The sequence below is a fragment of the Homo sapiens genome, chromosome 1 (assembly GCF_000001405.40).
Source record: "Homo sapiens chromosome 1, GRCh38.p14 Primary Assembly".
Taxonomy (NCBI): domain Eukaryota; kingdom Metazoa; phylum Chordata; class Mammalia; order Primates; family Hominidae; genus Homo; species Homo sapiens.
In genome coordinates, this window is record NC_000001.11 from 144,622,287 (window position 1) to 144,635,454 (window position 13,168).

Consider the following 13,168-nt stretch of genomic DNA (forward strand, 5'->3'; position numbering starts at 1 on the left):
TTTTTTAAGGAATTTTGCATTTATACTTATAGTAGTTTTATTTTTCTATGCTATTTGGACTAATTTTTGTATCAAAGTAACACTGGCCCCACAGAATAAATTGGAAAGTGAATATTTCTCTTTTTTAAAAAAGCTAGTCAAGAATTAATATCAATTATTCAACACTAACAAATATTATTATTATAAATTATTAATTTCTCTAATTTTAATTTTCTTCCTTCTGCTTGCTTTAGGTTTAGTTTGCTATTCGTTCCAGTGCCTTAATGTGGAACGTCATCTTATCTCATCCTTTCATTTGTCTTTTCATTTTGTAAATAGTGTCTTGTTAGCATCAGGTGAGCTCCCCAGGTTGGTAGTACTCCATGTTTGTTGCTGTACAACAATGACAGGTAATATGTCCTGAAGACAATGGAAACTTAACCTTCAAAATCTCCTAGATTCCACCTTATATGATATGTCTCTTCTATTGGTCCTAATTTCTACCCTTTCTCTATTATAAACCATGAGTACAATGGCATTCAATGAGTTCTGTGAGTCTTTCTAGTAAATTCTTGAAACTGAGGGTGTTCAGGGGAAACCCCTGAACTGGCAGTTGGTGTCAGAAGTGAGAATCTTCTTACATGGCCTCTTCCTTTGAACTGTGCAGCTGGACGCAAACTCTGCACAATTTGGGCCAGAACTCTCGTGTTGACTTTGTAGCCTAAAGTATCTTGTAGTTTGTCTAACCCTCAATAAATTTGCTTTCATCAAATATTGTATTTGTTACCCCAAAATTACCATCACGTTTTTTTTTCTCCAAATAACTAACATAGGAGAAATAGCCAGCTGAGTTTGTAACTCGACAGAAATAAGTGATCCATATACCATATACCATATAAGTGGCCATTTCATTTTGCCTTCTTCCACCAAATCTTAGCAACCTCAACCATTACCAAGAGCCACTGTAGGCCTACCAGCTACAAACAAACGAGTATCTTGTAAAAACACTTCATACTCCCATTTGATAATTTTCCCAGCAAAGAGATGCCTACTTTAACTCTATGCAAGTGGCTCATATTCACGAAGTCTGTAGATATTATTCATGTAGAGTGAGAAAATCATCCCAGCGGTGCCAGCACATTCTCCTTCCCATGATCTGCTTAGTTTGCAAACATATTCAGGCCATGGGTGAGAGATTTGTATTTCACAGTACAACAATTTTATGGAGGGCATTGAAACTTACATTGAGCATTTTAGTACAGTCACACATCACTGAATGATAGGGATACGTTTTAACAGATGTATTCATAGGCAATTTTACCATTTTGCAAACATCACAGAGAGTATTACAAACACCTAGATTGTACAGCCTACCACGTTTAGGTTATATGGTATAGCCTCTTTCTCCCAGGCTACAAATCTGTGTACTACATTACTGTACTGAATACTGCAGGCAATAAGAACACAGTGGTAAGAGGTTATGTATCTAAACATAATTAAACGTAGAAAAGTATGTAAAAATATCTATTATAATCTCATGGGACCACTTTTGTATATGTAATCCATCTTTGACTAAAATGTTATTATGCATGACATGACTCTATGACAAAAATAAAATAACACATTGTAAAAAAATATACACAGGTATCAAACATATTAATATTGTAAAAATAAAAATATTTATTCAGTGTAAGAATTTGTAATGATCACAAAATGTTCACAGCTTATATTTTAGTACAGTTTCAAATGCCTAGTGCAATTGCTATTTATTTCTGTGTGTATTTTAAACATGTATATAATAAATATTTTTCAGGTTCAACAATATATATCAATCCAACTGGCTCTTATAAATATTAGTTAACATCAATTGGTAAATTCATATATATATATACACACACGTGACTCAGTCTGTATGCGTGTATGTGTGTGTAAATGTAACTGTATGTGTGTGTAAATGTAACTGGATGCATCCTAATATTTACCCTTACCTACAAGATTTCCAAGACTCATTTATTCTCTTTAAATGGTGTGCCTTGAAAGATTTACCAAATAAAACCGCAATCGTGGAATATATCAAGATGTTATTAAATTCATCTTGTGCACATAATTGTTTCTTTAAATTTATGTTTCTTGCAAAACTTGCGGTAATGCTCATGCACAAAATAATTTTCTAAATAAAAAATAAAAACATTTTCTCAGTCATTAATTCTTAAAAAGTATTTCTCCCCAGTAATTAATGCGAATTCATTCTTAATTCTTAATTATAGAATAATGTTGCCCTTCAGAGTTCTGAATCTTTTGCACGTTGTATACATTTCACTGACTGGAACATCTTCTGGAATATTGGCATTAATTAATCTCACTCAGCAATTAATGATTTCAAAGAAATTAAATACCATTCATATTCTGAATCACAAGGGTACTTTGGCACCTAATTTAATCAAGCTCTTTGTATCATCATCTACAGTTTAATTACTTAACAAACATTTCTTTGTGTGAGAAAGATTGAGCAGGTTATTGTGCTTTTCGTTGTATACATTTCACTAAGTAGAACATCTTCTGGAATATTGGCATTAATTAATCTCACTCAGCAATTAATGATTTCAAAGAAATTAAATACCATTCATATTCTGAATCACAAGGGTACTTTGGCATCTAATTTAATCAAGCTCTTTGTATCATCATCTACACTTTAATTACTTAACAAACATTTCTCTGTGTGAGAAAGATTGAGCAGGTTATTGTGCTTTTTTATGATGCAACTTTTGCTTAATCTAGAGATAGGCAATGCTCCCTATAAGGGACAAAGAGAAAAATGAAAGAGCAATAGAGATGTGACAGGCATGGAAAAAGACAATACATTTATAAAACAAATAGGGCCACAGATGATGATAATGGGGATCAAATCTTGAGATACTGACTCAGTTTATAACCGCACTGTACAATAGAGCAAATCATTTGTTAATTATTTTACAAATGGAATCTAATTTAACTAAGATGAATACAGTGTTTTAAACAAGGCAGGTCATCTTAAAATAAAATAGTGGGAAAAGTGATAAAACCAATGTAAAAATCATAAACATTTTATAAAGAATTTTTGTCATGTAATTTAATATTTTTCTTTATTTAAAATCACCCAAATCAAAATAATTTTATCTTAATTAACAAATAATCATCAGAAGTTAACTAATTTTTACTTTATAATACTAGGTTTAAAAATTCTTCACTATATTTTTAATCATACATGCTTATACATAAAATAGACATAGGGTATATGTTTACATGTTCACAATATTATATTGTAATTGTTCCTATGGATGTGGTTTTTCAATAGAATTAATAAGTACTTTTAAAAAGTTTCAATTTCAATGATATATATGTTTGATTTTTCTTTGACAAAGCATACATATATTGATAGGTAATAATAAGAAAATCTTCTAAAGACATTACAGGAACATGAATAAGTAATTAAATCCTCAATAATTTGTAACGTTTTATGTAAGCGGAACACATTTAACTGAAAATTGCTTTTATATAATACTCAAACGAGACTAAAAACATATTAACTAGCGGAGTAAGTCTTCAAATTGATAATCTGAACTATAGAAGAGGAGAAACTTCAAGCACTCAAATATTTGAAATGCTACAAAATATTTATATAAACTATTATTTAACAATTTCTGTTTGTAGAGTGCTATAGAGTAATCCATATAAATGACATCTCAGTCTTTCTATAGCTTTGACCACATTTACCTCCTAATTTTAATTATTAATATGTTGGAGCAGTGCATACAACTAGATTCCGATCTTCCTTTTTAATGAGTAAAAATATGTCCTTTGAGACAGCATTAAAGAAAGAGCACCTTGTATAAATTCAATGCCAAGAGACAAGATATTCTTGATGCTGAAGTCTTGTTCTTTTATACAGCAATGTAATTAATAAGAAGAAGAAAAGCAGGACATAGAGATGGAGTCTATTTTCATCAAAAATTGTCTATAGATTTTGATGATAAAATTTAAAACTCTACTATATTTAGTTAGTCACAAAAAACTAGGTTGTGGGAACATATTTGGTCAATAAAACACCCCTACCAAATGCCGACAAGAAAAAAAGTTAGGTACCACCTTTCTTCTCTGCAGATGGCCTGAGATGGGTTAATTTGAAAGAATGCTTCCAAACCTGAGGTGACCCCTGAGAACAGCATAATCCACTGCTGTCTCCCACATTCAGTTTCTCAGTCTGTGCTCTTTTAATTTTGGGGGGAGGGAAGCCAGTCCTTTAAAGCGATCTTCAGCATGATGGCAGAGCCAAGGAGTGTGGACAGGTGGCACGGTGTCTGATTTTGTTCCAGCAGCCACTTGGGCTTTCTCTGGGTCTTCTCTGCCCTCGGGATAGCACTACTATTGAAAACATGTCTTTGTGACATTCTCTATGCCAGGAACTCCCAACATATTTTCCTTGAAACTGATGAAATGAAAAAAAATAAACCAAGAGGTGTGCTGTTTGTTTCTGTTTCCTCCTTTCTGCAGCCCTTCTTGATCATCTAATATTTTTAAATACATTGTCGATCACCAAAAGGAGCATAAGGGCTTTATTGGTTTGTAGCAGATGTATTCATAGCCCAGCCCCTATTCCTTAGCTGTAGCTGCTGGGAAGAAAACCATTCTTAACACTCTACAAGGTCTCATCTCCAGAATTTGCACCAGTTTCTAGCTGAGGACTTTCTCTAGCAGCACGGGAGCTTGTTACTGGGCATGAAGTGGGAAGAAAAGGTGAGGGTAACTAAGAAGAATCTCCCTGGATTCAGTGATGTAATTCTGAGGCATGCTCCACATAGCTTCCCATAAAATTAAGCCCAGATATCTAACACAGGAACTTACCTCTTAACACGTGTGGTATTGGCTTTTCTGTCTTTCCTGTTTTATTTTGTTCTCTTTTCCTTGTCTCACTTTCGCTGTGTCCTCACTCCTGCTTTAAGAATACCCAAACAAATACGTTCATTTATTTTTTTAGACTCTCAGAACACAGTTGATAGTTGAACTTGTAATCTATGATAATCAGCTTGGTTGCTGTATTGACAGGAAGATGGTGAACTCACAATGTCTAATTAAGATACAATTTAAAAAATATATTGTATCATGTCCAAAGACTTAAAAAGCCTAAGCGGCAGCGTCACAGTTTCTTCTTTTTAGTTTGCATGGTTTCTTAAATGCCTACAATTATTTTAAAGGAAGCCTTGAGTCTAGGAAAAATTGAGACATATGGAATAAATTACTAACCCATTTCTCCTTGAAATCCATTAGATGTTTGATGATTCTTCACATATATTTCTGAACTGAAAAGCTAGTTGGGAATTATTTTTATAAGCATATCCTTATGTAATATATTGTTTCTAAGAGTGAATGGAAGGTTTAAAGATTAAATTATTCTATCCAGAGAATAAAAAACAATTATTTCACAAGGAGAACATGTGTATGTTGACACGACATTTTAAAATCTAGATTTTAAAATAGGTCCCATATAATTTTGAGTCAATTAGAATACGTTTGTATCAGTCTGTCTACAGTTTTACACCTGTCAAATGTTACTTGAACTAAAAGAAGTACCTTGAACAATTTTGAAATTTATTATTCCTCTGAAACTGATGAAAAGAATGACGGTAGAGTGAAATTTGGATTGGCATAATTTAGGAGAGAAATTATTCCTTGGAGATCAACCTCTGCCAAGATAGTTTACAATGACATTGATACTTTTTGATTTACACAATTTGTTATATAAAAAATACTAAGACGATGACAGATAATACACAGACTTTAATTAAAATTGTACTAAAATTAAAAGTCTAAATAAATTACAAGTGTACGTGGTACATCTAAACGTATGTTTATATATTTTATTTGTGCATTTTATTCCTAGGGTTCCTTTTGCTTTAGTTTGTAAAACGTTCTTATTTTTATGGCAGTGTAGTATATACTAAATAAAGAAAAATCAGGAAATAGAAAATGAAGAAGAAAACATTAGCTATTGTCAACCAAATAAAAATTGTGCAATCTCTAAGTACATGAACGATGTATTATTTGTACAGCATGTACAATGTTTATGCTTCACAGGGTGAGGTAGAGACTGCAAAACATTGAACCTGGGACAAATAAGAAAGAAAGGAAATTTTCACAATATATTAATATTACAGAAAATGTTGAACTTAACAGTTAAGATACAAGTAGTGAAAAATGATAGTATTTAAGGAGATCTAGAAAATGTCATCCATACCAGTAATGTGTGAGAAGTATTAGAATAATGCTTGTATTTCTGGATTGGCATCGATTTCTATTGAGACTGGAAACATACTAGAAGTGAGCAAAAAAGAATTTAAATAGTGGATACTTGAGTTTTATACCTAGGAGTTCGAGAAATACATTTTGTTACTATCAAAGCAGTTGGCACAAGAGTGTACAACATTCCCTAATTGTGTCTATGTGGTGAAGACATAGACAAACAGAAAATAGCAAAACAGAAATAGCAAAAAAGCACAAATAAATTTTACCTGTATTTTTACGTAAAAGCCAATTAGAGTAGGAAAACATGAAATTTGTGTTTTATCGAAATTTTTCTCTTATAGTATAGTTGATTATATTACTGGAAAAAAATTGAAGCATTGGTATGTTCACAAAAAAAAGTAAAAGATAAGGTCAAAACCATGGGAATGCAGGGAGCAGACAAAATACACCTAAACACTGATACTGATTTTGCCCTACGGACATGTAGCAAAATGAATGAGTGCAGATTCCTATGGTCATACATCACATAGGACAGTAAAGAAATACATAGTGTTTCCCAAGATAGGGCATCACACAGGAGCTCTTCCCTAAAGCTAGCACCAAAATTTATCTCCTCAGTATAAAGAAGAATCAGAGGTAAATTAGTCTCATTTCACATTCCCTGGAAATGGCAAATAAAAATGACTTGAGATTGGACAGATTTAAAGAAACTCAATCATTAATGATTTACAGCAATTAATTTAAAAATTGTTTAAATGTGCTGTCCAAACATACGTCCAAACACCTTTAGGCCAAGAATTAATATAATGTGGTCCCAGAATGGTGGTGCCTTTAGTAGACTCACAAAAAATTCAAATTCTCTTTGGCAAATTTTCTTCTTACTAATATGCAAAAGTGCACAATAATAATTTTCAGAGAAAAATAAATCTTTGTCATTCAAAGGCATCTAAGTACGCAAGGAAATGATATTCCACCATTTGAAAGGAAAGCAGAAAAAGAGTACAAACAGATCCACAGAGGTTCATTAGTAGAAATATCACTGTTAGATTATAAAGCACATTTGCTTTCAAAAAATTTAAAAAAAGGAATATATTTTTAGGAGACTAAAAAGTTGATGTAGTAAATTTGAAAAGTAGTTTGTATGTAGTATTTTAAATTAAAAACTCAAAAATGAACTCATCAGATTAGACATGGCCATGGTGAGAGCTCATAAATATTTCAGAATGCATTACAGAAAATTTAAAAAAAGGCACAATGTGGACAGAATCATGAAGAGACATGGAAGATACAGTGAGAAAGTGTAGCATGTGTTTAGTGAGTGTTCTCATAGAGGAAGGGAACGGGGAAGGGACAATATGTGATGGTATTTTGGCTGAAAGTTCTCTAGAGTTTTGTAAGACACTAATCCACATATTCAAAACTTCTATGCATGCTAAGCAAGCTACGATGGAGATAAACCTACATCTACATATCTCCTAGAGAAATAGTAAACAATCAGGAAGGGAAAAATATTTCAATTAGCACTAGAAAAATCAAATTACCTTTAATCATATTGAAATCTGAAAGCATGAAAGGTAAAATAAACAATATTATTTGTTAAGAATAATAATGCCATTCTGAAATCCTCAACCAAGAAAAATATTCATCAACCTATGGCTAAATCACATATTTAGAGACAAAAAACAAAACACCACCAGCAGAATTCCACTAAAGAAACTCAAAGGAAACTCTGAAAACACGCTTCAGAAAGATTGAAGTTCTGAAATCAAAGAATGAACACAGAGCAAAATATATTGTAAACATAAAGATAGATCAAAATAGAAAATTAGGTGTTGAAACAAAAGAATATTTAAAATTAGATAAGCACTGCAATATGTATGTTAGGAAGCAAATTATTAGGGCTGAAGTATTCAAAGACCCCTTAATTGTCTGACAAGAGCAGAAAGGTATGACTTTGCAACTCTTTTTTTTTTTTTTTTTTTTGAGAAGGAGTCTCATTCACCCTTTCTCCCAGGCTGGAGTATGGTGGCGTCATCTCCGCTCACTGCAACCTCTGCCTCCCAGGTTCAAGCAATTCTCCTGCCTCAGCCTCCTGAGTAGCGGGGATTACAGCCGCGTGCCACCCTGCCTGGCTAATTTTTGTATTTTAGTAGAGACGGGGTTTCACCATGTTGATCAGGCTAGTCTCCAACTCCTGACCTCGTGATCCACACGCCTCGGCCTCCCGAAGTGTTGAGATTACAGGCGTGAGCCACTGCGCGCGACCGACTTTGGAACTTTAATAAATTGACTGGACATTATGCATTTCTCTGTTGTATCTATGAAAACAATAAAAATAAAAGTCATAATTTTAAAACAAGAAGACAGAAAGTGATAGGAGAAAATGAGACATTTTATATATATATATATATATATATATATATACACAACAAATTACTAATACAAAATTAAGTATAAATGATCAAAGATTAACTTAAACCTAAGTAGACAATGTTTTTGTTAAAATACAAAGATTGGCAAAATTTAAAACATCCGTCTCTATCATAGTTACAAGAGACACAACTAATATATAAATTTACAGAAACTTTGAAGTTCAAACAATACAGATACTGTGTATATATGATATACATACAAACATACTACATGAATATAATTTTTTAAAAAGTTGCTATGTAGACCAAATAGAATGTAAGTTAGAAACATTTATTAAAATAAGTTAGTGTAACCAGTGTGATAAAAGTTTTAAGTTATTAAGAAGATGTGATGACTTAAATGTGTATTAGCCTGATACATACATATATATATACACACAAACCACACACTCTCTCACACACACATACACACACGTATTTAGAGAGAGAGTCAAATTATATAAAGCAAAAATATCAGAAAGTAAGTAGAAATGGATAAGCCCCCAAATATTATAGACATTTCAAACACACGTCTTTCAGTAATAGATAAAAGAAAAAATTAAAAGAGTAAGTTTTAAAAGAAGCTAGTGGATTTTAAAACGGGCAAATATTATATAAGGAACTTGAATATTATAATTCATGTTATTTTCATGTTCATACAGAATACTTACAAAAATTAACATTTTCTAGACCATACCACAAATTCAAACAATTTTCACGGAAATAACGTGACACAGAATATACGTCCTAAACAAACAGCAATGAAGGCAGATATCAATACAAAAACGAAAGTTAGAAACATAAGTGTAATAATATTGGTTGGAAGCCATTTTATTGAATATTGAAATATTTTAAAGGTGAATAGTCACTACAAATAAACCAAACACTTTTGTGAGGCCACTAAGATACATGTGTAATGTGTAATGCCTCCTTTTATAAGGAGTAAATCTGTAAAATCACCTGGGCTATTTGACAACTGCAAAGTGAATGTGAGAAGGAGAGAAACAGTGAGAGAGAGAGAGATAAAAGCAGTAAAATAAACATAAAGAATGAAGGAGATAGCCAGGCGCCATTGTTCACGCCTGTAATCCCAGCACTTTGGGAGGCCGAGGCAGGTGGGTCACCTGAGGTCAGGAGTTCGAGACCAGCCTGGTCTAACATGGTGAAACCCACTCTCTACTAAATATACAAAAATTAGCCTGGCATGGTGGCATGCATCTGTAACCCCAGCTACTCGGGAGGCTGAGGTGGGAGAATTGCTTGAACGTGGGGGGTGGAAGTTGCAGTGAGTAGAGATCACGCGACTGCACTCCAGCTTGGGCGACAGAGCAAGACTCCGTGTCAGAAAAAAAAACCCAAAAAACAAGAAAGAAAAAAACGAGGAAATAGTACACGAAAAAGCAGAATTAAAGCAACTGGGTATATATTTAAAAATGCAAAAGCTCACTTTTTCAGAAAAATATTAAAATATTAAATCTAACAAATATCTAGGTAGACTGATGGAGAAAAATACAGAAAATGCACAAAAAAGCAATTACCTGGAATGCGAACGTTACAAAACGTCAGCAGTTGTAGATTTTAAATAAACAATGATTTTTGAGTTCAACCATGATGGGGCATATTGAAAAGAATCTCTCAGAAAAAAAGAAAAAGAAAACTGTTATAAAGCTATGTACAAAATGTTAAGCACTATTAAAGTCTTCCAAATCTACCAGTTACGGAGTTATTGGTCTTGGACTAACACTCCTGAAAAGAAAAAAAACAAACAAAATAAGACAATACCTAAAAACCTGGATAAAATGGCCTACCGTGGGCACCGGCAATGCATCCAAGCAGGTAGGACCTGGGTGCTACATTCTCTTTGTCAGAACACAAAGCATTCATACACTCTTCTCACCCTCACTTTCACCTTTTAATCTTTGATCTACTATTAAATGTATTCAACATTACTATCAATCCTTTGCTCAAAATTTCTTTACTCACATTTTGCTTGATGCACTTGGATAGACTGTTCAAGAAAGTGTGAGTAGTGAATTCCTCAAACTCTTGCATATTCAAAATCACATTTTTGAACCTCGATGCTTGAAGTGTAGCTTGGGTAACAGATGGGCTTTAAGCCAATTTTGGCATGCAAGGGGTTGAGTTTATTAGGCATCAGCACCGCTGAAAATCGTGGGGATGCAGGCTTAATTTCAACACTATTCTAAATACTTGAAAGATATTATATAAGTCTTTAATAAACTCCTGTGTCTACAAATGGTTCACATTAACTCAATATCCATGATGAAACATCTATAAAATCAAGGCACTGTTATTTAGTGGAGACTTGCTGGCTATTCTATGAGAGGAGGTATTGTTATTGTAATCTCATCATCTCATAAAATTGTATCATATTACTCATAACCAGCCCTTCATATTCTATTCCTATTTTGGTATTTTAAAATAAGATATCTTTGAAATTCTTGAATTCAAAGAGGGAATCTGAATAATTTTTAAAATGTCAATGAAATGCCATTTCTTCATGCTTCAACAACTAAAAATTGACTAAAGTGCTTCTCTTCAATCTTTCTGGGACATTTTTTATCTAAATTCTAAGAACAATCACAATAGGTTTTAACCACAAATGTGAGAATATTCTAAATGTTAGGGTGGAAAAAATTTTTAAATATTTTATAGTAATTTTTTTCATCATAGTGACAGTGTGCTAAATTTTTTTAAGCCAACTATTACTGTAGACATTTAAGTCAGGATTCTAAGAAGCTGTTCTAAAGTCCAAAATTCAGTTTCATATACACTGATATTATATATATATTTGCTTAAAAAATTAATACATGTGAGCCGTGTTTCAAATAGTTGAGAGATTATTATATCAAAGATTCTTGATTATATAAAATGCCAATTACTTATAGGCAGACATGCTTTAAATAATTACTAAGGCAGTTGTGGTTGATTGTACTCTTGCTACTGGCATTTATATGGACATACTATTATGGTCTGAAGAATATTTAGGCAAATTTATCCCTCATATGATCAGAAGAACAATGCAAGATAGTTTATATCTGAAAGGAAAAAAATCTTTATATGGTTCTGAAAGCGTAAATCATTAACAACTTGGATAATAATTAGCATAAAAATACACAAACATGCCCTCTTCCTAGCAGTAAGTACACAGTGACAACAGAATCAAAGCATGTGGCTATGTGCATGTTTATATTTCAAGACGCAGAGCACTCTATTCCTCCTCTCTGCCCTTTCTAGATGGCACAATCCCTCATGAATCTAAGTGCAGTCATAGGGTGGATTAGGGTGACCTGCCATTTGTATGCAACTGATCTCTAGTTTGGAAGTAATTAATGTCAAAATATATTTTTAAAAGGTAATTTCAAATTTCAGGGCAAACTAGCATGGTTTCGCCCCTTTTCTTTGGAACATTTTTTCTAAGGTTGGAAAAGTAAGGTAGGCTTTAGTACGATTTTAAATAATAAGTTTTCAAAGTGAGACGCAAAATGGTGGCGCCAACACATTTCAAATCTGCTACATTTTGAAGACACTTATTGGAGAAAAGACCTTCTCATCATTTTTCTCTTACAGGAAAGGAAATAACACGTACAGTTGACCCTTAAGCAACACGGAGGTTGGGGTGCTGGACCCCCTGCACGGTAGAAAATCCACTATAACTTTGACTCCCCCAAAACTTAACTACTAATAGCCTACTGTAAGCCTGACAAATAACACAGTCAATTAACACATATTTAATGTTATATGTCTTATATACCGTATTCTTAACAAACATGCCAGAGAAAAGAAAAAAGAAAATCATAAGGAAAATAGATTTACTAGTTATTAAATGGAAGTAGATGATCAAACAGGTCTTCATCCTCATCTTTCTCATGGGCAGGATGTGGATAAGGATGTAGAATTGTTGGTTTTGCTAAGTGGACGTGCACAGTTCAAACCCCTGTGGTGCAAAGGCCAACTGTATAGCCATTGAATAGCAATTTATATTTAGAAATTAACCTCACTAAAATACTCTTAGAAAGATGCCCAGAAAAAAAGTGAATAAGAATTTTTGGTTCATCTATTACATCATTTCATTTCATTAGTTCATTTCTTTTCATCATTTCATTTCATTTCCTCATTTCATCCTTTCATTTCATCATTTCATCTCATTTCCTCATTTCATCCTTTCATTTCATCATTTCATCATTTCATCTCATTTCCTCATTTCATCATTTCATTTCATCCTTCCATTTCATCATTTCATCTTATCATTTCATCTCATTTTATCATTTCATTTCATTCTTTCATTTCATTTCATCATTTCATCTCAACATTTCATTTCATCATTTCACTTCATCTCATCATTTCATCTCATTTCATTTCATCTCACCATTTCATTTCATCTCACCATTTCATTTCATCTCATCATTTCATCTTTTCATCTCATCATTTCATCATTTCATTTCATCTTTTCATCTCATTTCATTTCATCAATTCAT

At 32.7% G+C, this 13,168-nt stretch overlaps 1 long non-coding RNA gene across 4 annotated transcripts; it reads right to left on the reverse strand.

The window, feature by feature from the left end:
- Positions 1 to 1,632: 1,632 nt before the first annotated feature.
- On the reverse strand, positions 1,633 to 10,301 carry LINC01632 (long intergenic non-protein coding RNA 1632). 4 transcript variants are annotated; one of them, XR_001737747.2, is made up of 5 exons: positions 10,208 to 10,301; positions 8,458 to 8,576; positions 6,251 to 6,327; positions 4,861 to 4,948; positions 1,633 to 4,444 (listed from the first exon to the last, which is right to left on the reverse strand). It is a non-coding gene; the product is annotated as a long intergenic non-protein coding RNA 1632 (long non-coding RNA). The 4 variants fall into 4 exon arrangements; XR_001737748.2 differs by lacking the exon at positions 6,251 to 6,327 and having other exon boundaries at positions 10,208 to 10,270; XR_426815.4 differs by lacking the exon at positions 1,633 to 4,444 and having other exon boundaries at positions 4,474 to 4,951; positions 10,208 to 10,270.
- Between the last annotated feature and the right edge of the window lie 2,867 nt (positions 10,302 to 13,168).